Source organism: Homo sapiens, chromosome X (assembly GCF_000001405.40).
Source record: "Homo sapiens chromosome X, GRCh38.p14 Primary Assembly".
Classification (NCBI taxonomy): domain Eukaryota; kingdom Metazoa; phylum Chordata; class Mammalia; order Primates; family Hominidae; genus Homo; species Homo sapiens.
The window spans coordinates 62,507,427-62,521,153 of NC_000023.11; the positions used below are offsets into that span (position 1 = coordinate 62,507,427).

Genomic DNA, 13,727 nt, shown 5'->3' on the forward strand with positions numbered 1-13,727 from the left:
TCTGTCTAGTTTTTATGTGAAGATATTTCCTTTTCCACCATAGGCTTCAAAGCCCTCCAAAGGAAAACTTGCAGATTCTACAAATAGACTGTTACAAGACTGCTCTATGAAAAGAAGGGTTCCCCTCTGTGAGGTGAATGCACACATCACAAAGCAGTTTCTGAGAATGCTTCTTTCTAGTTTTTATGTGAAGATATTTCCTTTTGCATCATAGGCCTCAAATCGCTCCAAATATCCACTTGCAGATACCACAAAAGACTGTTTCAAAACAGCTCTCTGAAAAGGAAAGTTCAATTCTGTGAGTTGAATGCACACATCACAAAGCAGTTTCTGAGAATGCTTCTGTCTAGTTTGTGTGTGAAGATATCGCGTTTAAAACGAATTCCTGAAAGAGCTCCAAATATCCACAAGCAGATTCTACAAAAGCAGTGTTTCGAAACTGCTCTATCAAAAGAAAGTTTCAACCATGTGAATTCAACACGCACATCACAAAGGTGTTTCTGAGAATGCTTCTGTCCAGTTTTTATGTGAAGATATTTCCATTCGATCAGAGGCCACAAAGCACTCCAAATGAAACCTTGCAGATTCTACAACAGGTGGGTTCCAACACTGCTCTATCAAAAGTAAGGTTCAACTCTGTGAGCTGAATGCACACATCACAAGTACTTTCTGAGAATGCTTGTATAGTTTTTATGTGAAGATGATACCCATTTCCAACGAACTCCTAAATGAGTGCCAAATATCCACAAGCAGATAATACAAAAGGAGTGTTTCTATACTGCTGTATCAAAAGACAAATTCAACTCTGTTACTTGAATGCACACATCACAAAGAAGTTCTTGAGAATGCTTCTGTTTCGTTTTTATGTGAAGATATTTCCTTTTCCACCATAGGCTTCAAAGCGCTCCAAATGAACACTTGCAGATTCTACAAAAAGACAGTTTCAAACCTGCTCTATGAAAAGAATGGTTCCACTCTGTGAGGTGAATGCCCACATCACAAAGCAGTTTCTGAGAATGCTTCTGTCTAGTTTTTATGTGAAGAGATTTCCTTTTCCATCATAGGCCTCAAATCGCTCCAAATATCCCTTGCAGATACTACAAAAAGACTCAAAAGTGCTCTCTCAAAAGGAACGTTCATCTCTGTGAGTTGAATGCACACATCACAGAGCAGTTTCTGGGAATGCTTCTGTCTAGTTAGTATGTGAAGGTATTTCCTTTTCCATCATAGACCTCAAATCCCTCCAAATATCCACTTGCAGATACCAGAAAAAGACTGTTTCAAAACTGCTCTCTCAAAAGAAGTGTTCAACTCTGTGAGTTGAATGCACACATCAAAAAGCAGTTTCTGAGAATGCTTCTGTCCAGTTTGTATGTGAAGATATTTCCTACTCCATCATAGGCCTGAAATCGCTCCAAATATCTACTAGCAGATACTACAAAAATACTGTTTCAAAACTGCTCTCTCCAAAGGAAGGTTCAACTCTGTGAGTTGAATGCGCACATCACAAAGCAGCTTCTGAGAATGCTTCTGTCTGGTTTGTATGTGAAGATATTTCCTTTTCCATCATAGGCCTCAAATCTCTCAAAATATCTACTTGCAGATACTACAAAAGACTTTCAAAACTGCTCTCTCAAAAGGAAGGTTCATCTCTGTGAGTTGAATGCACACATCACAAAGAAGTTTCTCAGAATGCTTCTGTCTACTTTGTATGTGAAGATATCCCGTTTACAACGAATTCCTCAGAGCTCCAAATATCCACATGCAGATTGTGCAAAAGCAGTGTTTCAAAACTGCTCTATCAAAAGAAAGCTTCAACTCTGTGAATTGAACACACGCATCACATAGTTGTTTCTGAGAATGCTTCTGTCTAGTTTTTATGTGAAGATATAATCCCATTTCCACCATAGGCCACAAACCGCTCCAAATGAGCACTTGTAGATTCTACAAAGAGACTGTTTCAAAACTGCTCTATGAAAAGAAAGGTTCCACTCTGTGAGTTGAATGCACACATCAAAAAGAACTTTCTGAGAATGCTTGTGTCTAGTTTTTATGTGAAGATACCCGTTTCCAAAGAATTCCTCAAGGTGTTCCGAATATCCACAAGCAGCTTCTACAAAAGGCGGGTTTCAGTACTGCTCTATCAAAAGACAGATTCAATTCTGTTAGTTGAATGCACACATCACAAAGAAGTTCCTGAGAATGCTTCAGTCAAGTTTTTATGTGAAGATATTTCCTTTTCCACCATAGGCATCAAATCGCTCCAAATATCCACATGCGGTTTCTACAAAAATACAGTTTCAAAACTGATCTCTCAAAAGGAAGGTTGGAACTCTGTGAGTTGAATGCACACATCACAAAGCAGTTTCTGAGAATGCTTCTGTCTAGTTTGTATGTGAAGATATTTCCTTTTCCATCATAGGCCTCAAGTTTTCAAAATATCCACTTGCAGATACTACAAGAAGACTGTTTCAAAACTGCTCTTTCCAAAGGAGGGTTCAACTCTGTGAGTTGAAGACACACATCACAAAGCAGTTTCTGAGAATGCTTCTGTCTAGTTTGTATGTGAAGGTATTTCCTTTTCCATCATAGGCCTCAAATCACTCCAAATATCCACTTGCAGGTACTCCAAAAAGACTGTTTCAAAACTGCTCTCTCAAAAGGAATTTTCAACTCTGAGTTGAATTCACACATCACAAAGCAGTTTCTGAGAATGCTTCTGTCTAGTTTGTATGTGAAGATATTTCCTTTTCCACCATAGGCTTTAAAGCGCTCCAAATGAACAGTTGCGGATTCTACAAAAAGACTGTTTCAAAACTGCTCTATGAAAAGAAGGGTTCCACTCTGTGAGGTGAATGCACACATCACAAAGTTGTTTGTGAGAATGCTTCTGTCTAGTTTTTTGTGAAGATATGTCCTTTTCCGTCATAGGCCTCAAATCGCTCCAAATATCCACTTGCAGATACTACAAAAAGACTCTTTCAAAACTGCTCTCTCCAAAGGAAGGTTCAATTCTGTGAGTTGAATGCACACATCACAAAGCATTTTCTGAGAATGCTTCTGTCTACTTTGTATATGAAGGTATTTCCTTTTCCATCATTGGCCTCAAATCGCTCCAAATATCCCCTTGCAAATACTACAAAAAGATTGTTTGAAAACTGCTCTCTCTAAAGGAAGGTTCAACTCTGTTAGTTGAACGCACACATCACAAAGTAGTTTCTGAGAATGCTTCTCTCTAGTTTGTATGTGAAGATTTCCCGTTTAGAACGAATTCCTCAAAGAGCTCCAAATATCCACAAGCAGATTCTACAAAAGCAGTGTTCCAAAACTGCTCTATCAAAGGAAAGTTTCAACGCTGTGAAGTGAGCACACACATCACAAAGATGTTTCTGAGAATGCTTCTATCTAGTTTTTATGTGAAGATATTTTCTTTTCCACCATAGGCCCCAAAGCGCTCCAAATGAACACTTGCAAATTCTACAAAAGGTGTGTTTCAACACTGCTCTATCAAAAGAAAGCTTCAACACTGTGAGTTGAATGGACACATCACAAAGAACTTTGTGATAATGCTTCTCTCTAGTTTTTATGTGAAGACAACCGTTTCCAACGAATTCCTCAAAGACTTCCAAATATCCACAAGCAGATTCTGCAAAAGAAGTGTTTCAATACTGCTCAATAAAAAGACATATTCAACTCTGTTAGTTGAATGCACACATCTCAAAGAATTTCCTGAGAATGCTTCTGTCTAGTTTTTACTTGAAGATATTTCCTTTTCCCCCACAGTCTTCAAAGCGCTCCAAATGAACACTTGCAGATTCTACAAAAAGACTGTTTCAAAACTGCTCTATGAAAAGAAGGGTTCCACTCTGTGAGGTGAATGCACACATCACAAAGTTGTTTGTGAGAATGCTTCTGTCTAGTTTTTATGTGAAGATATTTCCTTTTCCATCACAGGCCTCAAATCGCTCCAAATATCCACTTGCAAATACTACAAAAATACTGTTTCAAAACTGCTCTCTCAAAAGGATGTTTCAACTCTGTGAGTTGAATGCACACATCACAAAGCAGTTTCTTGGAATGCTTCTGTCTAGTTTGTACGTGAAGATATTTCCTTTGCCATCATAGGCTTCACATCGCTCCAAATATCCACTTGCAGATACTACAAAAAGACTGTTTCAAAACTGCTCTCTCAAAAGGAAGGTTCAATTCTGTGAGTTGAATGCACACATCACAAAGCAGTTTCTGAGAATGCTTCTGTCTAGTTTGTATGTGAAGGTATTTCCTTTGGCATCATAGGCCTCACATCGCTCAGAATATCTACTTGCAGATACTACAAAAAGACTGTTTCAAAACTGCTCTCTCAAAACGAACGTTCAATTCTGTGAGTTGAATCCACACATCACAAAGCAGTTTCTGAGAAGGCTTCTGTCTAGTTTGTATGTGAAGATATCCCGTTTACAACGAATTTCTCAAAAATCTCTTAATATCCACAAGCAGATTCTGCAAAAACAGTGTTTCAAAACTGCTCTATCAAAATAAAATTTCAACTCTGTGAATTGAAGACACACATCACAATGATGTTTCTCACAATGCCTCTGTCTAATTTTTATGTGAAGATATTTCCTTTTCCACCGTAGGCACCAAAGCACTCCAAAAGAGCACTTGCAGATACTACAAAAGGTGTGTTTCAATAGTGCTGTATCAAAAGAAAGTTTCAACTCTGTGAGTAGAATGCACACTTCGCAAAAAACTTTCTGAGAATGTTTCTGTCTAGTTTTTATGTGAAGATGCCCGTTTCCAACGAATTCCTCAGAGAGTTCCAAATATCCACAAGCAGATTCTACAAAGGAGTGTTTCAATACTGCTCTATCAAAAGACAGATTCAATTATGTTAGTTGAATGCAGACATCTCAAAGAAGTTCCTGAGAATGCTTCTGTCTAGTTTTTATGTGAAGATATTTCATTTTCTACCTTAGGCTTCAAAGCGCTCCAAAAGAACACTTGCAGATTCTACAAAAAGACTGTTTCAAAACTGCTTTATGAAAAGAAGAGTTCCACTCTGTAAGGTGAATGCACACCTGACAAAGCAGTTTCTTAGAGTTCTTCTATCTAGTTTTTATGTGAAGATATTTCCTTTCCCATCATAGGCCTCAAATCGCTCAAAAGATCTACTTGCAGATGCTACAAAAAGACAGTTTCAAAACTGCTCTCTCAAAAGGTTGGTTCCACTCTGTGTGGTGAATGCACGCATCACAAAGCAGTTTCTGAGAATGCTCCTGTCTCGTTTTTATGTGAAGATATTTCCTTTTCCACCACAGGTCATAAAGCCCTCCAAATGAACATTTGCAGATTCTACAAAAGGTGTGTTTCAACACTGCTCTATCAAAAGAAAGCTTCAACACTGTGAGTTGAATGCACACATCAAAAAGAACTTTCTGAGAATCCTTCTCTGTAGTTTTTATGTGAAGATAACCTTTTCCAACGAATTCCTCAAAGATTTCCAGTTATCCACAAGCAGATTCTTCAAAAGGAGTGTTTCAATACTGCTCAATCAAAAGACAGATTCAACTCTGTTAGTTGAATGCACACATCTCAAAGAATTTCCTGAGAATGCTTCTGTCTAGTTTTTATGTGAATGCATTTCCTTTTCTACCATAGGCTTCAAAGTGCTCCAAATGAACACTTCCAGATTCTACAAAAAGACTGTTTCAAAACTGTTTTAAGAAAAGAAGCGTTCCACTCTGTGAGGTGAATGCACACACCACAAAGCTGCCTCTGAGAATGCTTCTCTCTAGTTTTTATGTGAAGATATTTCCTTTTCCATCATAGGTCTCAAATCGCTCCAAATATCCACTTGCAGATACTACAAAAAGACTCTTTCAAAACTGCTCTCTCAAAAGGAAGGTTCAACACTGTGAGTTGAATGCACACATCACAAAGCAGTTTCTGAGAATGCTTCTGTCTACTTTTTATGTGCAGATATCCCGTTTACAACGAATTCCACAAAGAGCTCTAAATATCCACAAGCAGATTCCACAAAAGCAGTGATTCAAAACTGCTCTATCAAAAGAAAGGTTCAACTCTGTGAATTGAACGCACACAACACAATGGTGTTTCTGAGAATGCTTCTATCTAGTTTTTATGTGAAGACATTTCCTTTTCCATCACAGGCCTCAAAGCACTCCAAATGAACACTTGCAGATTCTACAAAAGGTGTGTTTCAACACTACTCTATCCAAAGAAATGTTCAACTCTGTGAATAGAATGCACACATCACAAAGAGCTTTCTGAGAATGCTTGTGTCTAGTTTTTATGTGAAGATACCCGTTTCCAACGAATTCCTAAAGAGTTCCAAATATCCACAAGCAGATTCTACAAAAGGAGTGTTTCAATACTGCTCTATCAACAGACAGATTCAACTCTGTTAGTTGAATGCACACATCTCAAAGAAGTTCCTGAGAATGCTTCTGTCTAGTTTGTATGTGAAGATATATATCCTTTTCGACCATAGGCTTCAAAGCGCTCTCAATGAACACTTGCAGATTCTACAAAAAGCCTATTTCAAAAGTGCTCTATGAAAAGAAGGGATCCACTCTGTGAAGTGAATGCACACATCACAAAGCAGTTTCTGAGAATGCTTCTGTCTCGTTTGTATGTGAAGATATTTCATTTTTCCATCATAGGCCTCAAATCGCTCCAAATATCCACTTGCAGATACTTCAAAAGGACTGTTTCAAAACTGCTCTCTCAAAAGGAAAGTTCAGCATGGAGAGTTGAATTCACACATCACAAAGCAGTTTCTGAGAATGCTTCTGTCTAGGTTGTATGTGAAGATCTTTCCTTTTCAATAACAGGCCTCAAATCGCCCAAAGTATCCACTTGCAGATACAACATAAAGAGTGTTTCAAAACTGCTCTCTCAAAAGGAAGGTTCAACTCTGTGAGTTGAATGCTCACATCACAAAGCAGTTTCTGAGAATGTTTCTGTCTAGTTTGTATGTGAAGATATATCCTTTTCCATCATAGGCTTCAAATCGCTCCAAATATCTACTTGTTGACACAACAAAAAGCCTGTTTCAAAACTGCTCTCTCAAAAGGAAGGTTCAACTCTGGGAGTTGAATGCACAGATCACAAAGCAGTTTCTGAGAATGCTTCTGTCTAGTTTGTATGTGAAGATTTCCCGTTTGCAACGAATTACTCAGAGCTCCAAATATCCACAAGCAGATTCTACAAAAGCAGTGTTTCAAAACTGCTCTATCGAAAGAAATGTTCAACTCTGTGAATTGAACACACACATCACAAAGTTGTTTCTGAGAATGCTTTTGTCTAGTTTTTCTGTGAAGATATTTCCTTTTGCACCTTAGGCCCCAAAGCGCTACAAATGAACACTTACAGATTCGACCAAAGGTGTGTTTCAACACTGCTCTATCAAAAGAAACTTTCACCTCTGTGAGCTGAATGCACACATCACAAAGAACTTTCTAAGAATGCTTCTGTCTAGTTTTTATGTGAAGATAACCTTTTCCAAAGAATTCCTCAAAGAGTTCCAAATATACACAAGCAGATCCCACAAAAGGAGTGTTTCAATACTGCTCTATCAAAAGACAGATTTAACTCTGTGAGTTGAATGCACACATCTCAAAGAAGTTCCAGAGAATGCTTCTGTCTAGTTTTTATGTGAAGATATTTCCTTTTGCACCATAGGATTCAAAGCACTCCAGTGAACACTTGCAGATACTACAAAAAGACTGTTTCAAAACTGCTCTCTCAAAAGGAAAGTTCAACTCTGTAAGTTGAATGCACACATCACAAAGCAGTTTCTGAGAATGCTTCTGTCTAGTTTTTAAGTGAAGATATTTCCTTATCCACCATAAGCTTCAAAGCAATCCAAATGCCCACTTGCAGATCCTACAAAAAGAGTGTTTCAAAACTGCTCTATCAAAAGAACGCTTCAAATCTGTGAGGTGAATACACACATCAAAAAGTAGTTTCTGAGAATGCCTCTGTCTAGTTTTTGTGAAGATATCCCGTTTCCAACGAAGGCCTCAAAGAGGTCCTTATATCCACTTTTAAATTCTACAAAAAGAGTGTTTCAAAACTACTTTGTGAAAAGGAATGTTGAAGACTTTGTGTTGAAAGTAAACATCAGAAAAAAGTTGTTGAGAATGCTTCTGTGTAGTTCTTATGTGAAGATATTTCCTTTTTCATCACAGGCCTCAAAACGCTCCAAATGTCCACTTGCAGATTTTACAAAAAGAGTGTTCCAATGTGCTCTATCAAAGGAAAGCTTCAACTCTGTTAGTTGATTACACACATCACAAAGAGATTTCTGAGAATGCTTCTGTCTAATTTTTATGTGAAGATATTTCGTTTTTCATCATAGGCCTGAAAGCGTTACAAATGTCCACTTGCAGATCCTACAAAAAGAGTTTTTCAAAACTGTTCTATCGAAGGAAAGGTTTAACTCTGTGAGTTGAATGCACACATCACAAAGAAGTTTGTGAGAATGCTTCTGTCCAGTTTTTATGAAGATATCCCTTTTCCAACGAATGCCTCAAAGCGGTCCAAATATCCTCTTGCAAATTCTACAAAAAGAGTGTTTCCAAACTGCTCTATGAAAAGGAATGTTCAGCTCTGTGAGATGAATGCAAACATCACAAAGAAGTTTCTGAGAACACTTCTGCGTAGTTTTTATGTGAAGATATTTCCTTTTTCACCATAGGCCTCAAAGCGCACCAAATTTCCAGTTGCAGATTCTGCAAAAAGAGGGTTTCTAAACTGCTCTATCAAAAGAGAGTTTCAATTGTAGGAGTTGAACGCATACATCACAGAAAAGTTCCTGAGAATGCTTCTGTGTTGTTTTTACATGAAGATAATTCCTTTTCCTCCATAGGCCTCAAAACGTTCCGAAAGCTCACTTGCAGATTCAACAAAAAGAGTGTTTCACAACAGCTTTATCAAAAGAAGGCTTCAACTCTGTGAGTTGAATGCACACATCACAAAGAAGTTCCTGAGAATGCTTCTGCCAATTTTTTGTGAAGATATCCCTTTTCCAGCGAAGGTCTCAAAGCGTTCCAAATACCCACTTGCAAATTAAAAAGAGTGTTTCAAAACTGCTCTATGAAAAGGAACGTTCAACTCTGTTAGCTGAAAATAAACATCACAAAGAAGTTTCTGAGAATGCTTCTGTGTAGTCTTAATGCGAAGACATATTTCCTTTTTCACCTCAGGCCTTGAAGTGCTCCAAATGTCCACTTGCAGATTCTACAAAAAGAGTGTCTCAAAACTGCTCTATCAAAAGAATCGTTCAACTCTGTGAGTTCAATACACACATCACAAAGAGGTTTCTGAGAATGCTTCTGTCTAGTTTTTATATGAAGATATTTCCTTTTTCACCATAGGCCTCAAAGTGCTACAAAATGTCCATTTGCAGATTGTACAAAAAAGAGTGTTTCAAAACTGCTCTATCAAGGGAAAGGTTCAAGTCATTGAGTTCAATGCACACATCAGAAAGGAGATTCTGAGAATGCTTCTGTCTTGTTTTTGTGAAGGTATCCCTTTTCCAACGAAGGCCTGAAAGCCGTCCAAATATCCACTTGCAAATTCTACAAAAAGAGTGATTCGAAATTGCTCTATGAAAAGGAATGTTCATCTTTGTGAGTTAAAAGCAAACATCAGGGGGAGGAGCCAAGATGGCCAAATAGGAAAAGCTCTGGTCTACAGCTCCCAGCGTGAGCGACACAGAAGGGTGATTTCTGCATTTCCAACTGAGGTACCGGGTTCATCTCACTAGGGAGTGCCAGACAGTGGGTGCAGGTCAGTGGGTGCGCGCACCGTGCGCGAGCCGAAGTAGGGCGAGGCATTGCCTCACTCGGGAAGTGCAAGTGGTCAGGGAGTTCCCTTTCCGAGTCAATTAAAGAGGTGACAGAGGGCACCTGGAAAATCGGGTCACTCCCACCCGAATACTGCGCTTTTCCGAGGGGCTTAAAAAACGGCGCACCACGAGAGTATATCCCGCACCTGGCTCGGAGTGTCCTGCGCCCATGGAGTCTCGGTGATTGCTAGCACAGCAGTCTGAGATCAAACAGCAAGGCGGCAGCGAGGCTGTGGGAGGGGCGCCCCTAATGCCCAGGCTTGATTAGGTAAACAAAGCAGCCGAGAAGCTCGAACTGGGTGGAGCCCAACACAGCTCAAGGAGGCCTGCCTGCCTCTGTAGGCTCCACCTCTGGGGGCAGGGCACAGACAAACAAAAAGACAGCAGTAACCTCTGCAGAAGTAAATGTCCCTGTCTGACAGCTTTGAAGAGAGCAGTGATTCTCCCAGCACACAGCTGGAGATCTGAGCACGGGCACACAGCCTCCTCAAGTGGGTCCCTGAATCCCGAGCAGCCTAACTGGGAGGCACCCCCCAGCAGGAGCACACTGACACCTCACACGCCAGGGTATTCCAACAGACCTGCAGCTGAGGGTCCTGTCTGTTAGAAGGAAAACTAACAAACAGATTGGACATCCACACCAAAAACCCATCTGTACATCACCATCATCAAAGACCAAAAGTAGATAAAACCACAAACATGGGGAAAAAACAGAACAGAAAAACTGGAAACTCTAAAAAGCAGAGCGCCTCTCCTCCCCCAAGGTAACGCAGTTCCTCACCAGCAACAGAACAAAGCTGGATGGAGAATGACTTTGACGAGGTGAGAGAAGAAGGCTTCAGACGATCAAATTACTCTGAGCTACTGGAGGACATTCAAACCAAAGGCAAAGAAGTTGAAAACTTTGAAAAAAATTTAGAAGAATGTATAACTAGAATAACCAATACAGAGAAGTGCTTAAAGGAGCTGATGGAGCTGAAAACCAAGGCTCGAGACCTACGTGAAGAATGCAGAAGCCTCAGGAGCCGATGCGATCAACTGGAAGAAAGGGTATCAGCAATGGAAGATGAAATGAATGAAATGAAGCGAGAAGGGAAGTTCAGAGAAAAAAGGATAAAAAGAAATGAACAAAGCCTCCAAGAAATATGGGACTATGTGAAAAGACCAAATCTACGTCTGATTGGTGTACCTGAAAGTGATGGGAGAATGGAATCAAGTTGGAAAACACTCTGCAGGATATTATCCAGGAGAACTTCCCCAATCTAGCAAGGCAGGCCAATATTCAGATTCAGGAAATACAGAGAACGCCACAAAGATACTCCTCGAGAAGAGCAACTCCAAGACACATAATTGTCAGATTCACCAAAGTTGAAATGAAGGAAAAAATGTTAAGGGCAGCCAGAGAGAAAGGTCGGGTTACCCACAAAGGGAAGCCCATCAGACTAACAGCGGATCTCTCGGCAGAAACCCTACAAGCCAGAAGAGAGTGGGGGCCAATATTCAACAAACTTAAAGAAAAGAATTTTCAACCCAGAATTCCATATCCAGCCAAACTAAGCTTCATAAGTGAAGGAGAAATAAAATACTTTACAGACAAGCAAATGATGAGAGATTTTGTCACCACCAGGCCTGCCTTACAAGAGCTCCTGAAGGAAGCACTAAACATGGAAAGGAACAACCGGTACCAGCCACTGCAAAATCATGCCAAAATGTAAAGACCATCGAGGCTAGGAAGAAACTGCATCAACTAATGAGCAAAATCACCAGCTAACATCATAATGACAGGATCAAATTCACACATAACAGTATTAACTTTAAATGTAAATGGACTAAATGCTCCAATTAAAAGACACAGACTGGCAAATTGGATAAAGTCAAGACCCATCAGTGTGCTGTAACTGAGGAAACCCAGCTAACGTGCAGAGACACACAAAGGCTCAAAAAAAGATAAACGGATGGACGAAGACCTACCAACAAAATGGAAAACAAAAAACGGCAGGGGTTGCAATCCTAGTCTCTAATAAAACAGACTTTAAACCAACAAAGATCAAAAGAGACAAAGAAGGCCATTACATAATGGTAAAGGGATCAATTCAACAAGAAGAGCTAACTATCCTAAATATATATGCACTCAATACAGGAGCACCAAGATTCATAAAGCAAGTCCTGAGTGACCTACAAAGAGACGTAGACTCCCACACATTACTAATGGGAGATTTTAACACCCCACTGTCAACATTAGACAGATCAACGAGACAGAAAGTCAACAAGGATACCCAGGAATTGAACTCAGCTCTGCACCAAGTGGACCCAATAGACATATACAGAACTCTCCACCCCAAATCAACAGAATATACATTTTTTTCAACACCACACTACACCTATTCCAAAATTGACCACATAGTTGGAAGTAAAGCTCTCCTCAGCAAATGTAAAAGAACAGAAATTATAACAAACTATCTCTCAAACCACAGTGCAATCAAACTAGAACTCAGGATTAAGAATCTCACTCAAAACCACTCAACTACATGGAAACTGAACAACCTGCTCCTGAATGACTACTGGGTACATAACGAAATGAAGACAGAAATAAAGATGTTCTTTGAAACCAATGAGAAAAAAGACACAACATACCAGAATCTCTGGGACGCATTCAAAGCAGTGTGTAGAGGGAAATTTATAGCACTAAATGCCCACAAGAGGAAGCAGGAAAGATCCAAAATTGACACCCTAACATCACAATTAAAAGAACTAGAAAAGCAAGAGCAAACACATTCAAAAGCTAGCAGAAGGCAAGAAATAACTAAAATCAGAGCAGAACTGAAGGAAATAGAGACACAAAAAACCCTTCAAAAAATTAATGAATCCAGGAGCTAGTTTTTTGAAAGGATCAACAAAATTGATAGACTGCTAGCAAGACTAATAAAGAAAAAAAGAGAGAAGAATGAAATAGACGCAATAAAAAATGATAAGGGGGATATCACCACCAATCCCACAGAAATACAAACTACCATCAGAGAATACTATAAACACCTCTACACAAATAAACTAGGAAATCTAGAAGAAATGGATAAATTCCTGGACACATACACTCTCTGAAGACTAAACCAGGAAGAAATTGAATCTCTGAATAGACCAATAACTGGCTCTGAAATTGTGGCAATAATCAATAGCGTACCAACCAAAAAGACTCCAGGACCAGAAGGATTCACAGCCGAATTCTACCAGTGGTACAAGGAGGAACTGGTACCATTCCTTCTGAAATTATTCCAATCAATAGAAAAAGAGGGAATCCTCCCTAACTCATTTTATGAGGCCAGCGTCATTCTGATACCAAAGCCAGGCAGAGACACAACCAAAAAAGAGAATTTTAGACCAATATCCTTGATGAACTTTGATGCAAAAATCCTCAATAAAATACTGGCAAAGCGAATCCAGCAGCACATCAAAAAGCTTATCCACCATGATAAAGTGGGCTTCATCCCTGGGATGCAAGGTTGGTTCAATATACGCAAATCAATAAATGTAATCCAGCATAAAAACAGAGCCAAAGACAAAAAACCACACGATTATCTCAATAGATGCAGAAAAAGCCTTTGACAAAATTCAACAACCCTTCATGCTAAAAACTCTCAATAAATTAGGTATTGATGGGACGTATTTCAAAATAATAAGAGCTATCTATGACAAACCCACAGCCAATATCATACTGAATGGGCAAACACTGGAAGCATTCCCTTTGAAAACTGGCACAAGACAGGGATGCCCTCTCTCACCACTCTTATTCAACATAGTGTTGGAAGTTCTGGCCAGGGCAATTAGGCAGGAGAAGGAAATAAAGGGTATTCAATTA

The 13,727-nt window shown here is 39.4% G+C and overlaps 9 annotated features.

The window, feature by feature from the left end:
• Positions 787–1,354: an enhancer, noted in NCBI's record as "OCT4-NANOG-H3K27ac-H3K4me1 hESC enhancer chrX:61727683-61728250 (GRCh37/hg19 assembly coordinates)". NCBI's record gives its function as "activates a minimal SCP1, AML or CMV promoter by ChIP-STARR-seq in primed H9 embryonic stem cells {active_cell/tissue: H9 hESC(primed)}" and the evidence as "EXISTENCE:reporter gene assay evidence [ECO:0000049][PMID:30033119]".
• Positions 1,355–1,924: an enhancer, noted in NCBI's record as "OCT4-NANOG-H3K27ac-H3K4me1 hESC enhancer chrX:61728251-61728820 (GRCh37/hg19 assembly coordinates)". NCBI's record gives its function as "activates a minimal SCP1, AML or CMV promoter by ChIP-STARR-seq in primed H9 embryonic stem cells {active_cell/tissue: H9 hESC(primed)}" and the evidence as "EXISTENCE:reporter gene assay evidence [ECO:0000049][PMID:30033119]".
• Positions 1,925–2,492: an enhancer, noted in NCBI's record as "OCT4-NANOG-H3K27ac-H3K4me1 hESC enhancer chrX:61728821-61729388 (GRCh37/hg19 assembly coordinates)". NCBI's record gives its function as "activates a minimal SCP1, AML or CMV promoter by ChIP-STARR-seq in primed H9 embryonic stem cells {active_cell/tissue: H9 hESC(primed)}" and the evidence as "EXISTENCE:reporter gene assay evidence [ECO:0000049][PMID:30033119]".
• Positions 2,493–3,060: an enhancer, noted in NCBI's record as "OCT4-NANOG-H3K27ac hESC enhancer chrX:61729389-61729956 (GRCh37/hg19 assembly coordinates)". NCBI's record gives its function as "activates a minimal SCP1, AML or CMV promoter by ChIP-STARR-seq in primed H9 embryonic stem cells {active_cell/tissue: H9 hESC(primed)}" and the evidence as "EXISTENCE:reporter gene assay evidence [ECO:0000049][PMID:30033119]".
• Positions 3,061–3,628: an enhancer, noted in NCBI's record as "OCT4-NANOG hESC enhancer chrX:61729957-61730524 (GRCh37/hg19 assembly coordinates)". NCBI's record gives its function as "activates a minimal SCP1, AML or CMV promoter by ChIP-STARR-seq in naive H9 embryonic stem cells {active_cell/tissue: H9 hESC(naive)}" and the evidence as "EXISTENCE:reporter gene assay evidence [ECO:0000049][PMID:30033119]".
• Positions 3,629–4,198: an enhancer, noted in NCBI's record as "OCT4-NANOG-H3K27ac-H3K4me1 hESC enhancer chrX:61730525-61731094 (GRCh37/hg19 assembly coordinates)". NCBI's record gives its function as "activates a minimal SCP1, AML or CMV promoter by ChIP-STARR-seq in naive H9 embryonic stem cells {active_cell/tissue: H9 hESC(naive)}" and the evidence as "EXISTENCE:reporter gene assay evidence [ECO:0000049][PMID:30033119]".
• Positions 6,473–7,040: an enhancer, noted in NCBI's record as "OCT4-NANOG-H3K27ac-H3K4me1 hESC enhancer chrX:61733369-61733936 (GRCh37/hg19 assembly coordinates)". NCBI's record gives its function as "activates a minimal SCP1, AML or CMV promoter by ChIP-STARR-seq in primed H9 embryonic stem cells {active_cell/tissue: H9 hESC(primed)}" and the evidence as "EXISTENCE:reporter gene assay evidence [ECO:0000049][PMID:30033119]".
• Positions 7,041–7,609: an enhancer, noted in NCBI's record as "OCT4-NANOG-H3K27ac-H3K4me1 hESC enhancer chrX:61733937-61734505 (GRCh37/hg19 assembly coordinates)". NCBI's record gives its function as "activates a minimal SCP1, AML or CMV promoter by ChIP-STARR-seq in primed H9 embryonic stem cells {active_cell/tissue: H9 hESC(primed)}" and the evidence as "EXISTENCE:reporter gene assay evidence [ECO:0000049][PMID:30033119]".
• Positions 7,610–8,177: an enhancer, noted in NCBI's record as "OCT4-NANOG-H3K27ac-H3K4me1 hESC enhancer chrX:61734506-61735073 (GRCh37/hg19 assembly coordinates)". NCBI's record gives its function as "activates a minimal SCP1, AML or CMV promoter by ChIP-STARR-seq in primed H9 embryonic stem cells {active_cell/tissue: H9 hESC(primed)}" and the evidence as "EXISTENCE:reporter gene assay evidence [ECO:0000049][PMID:30033119]".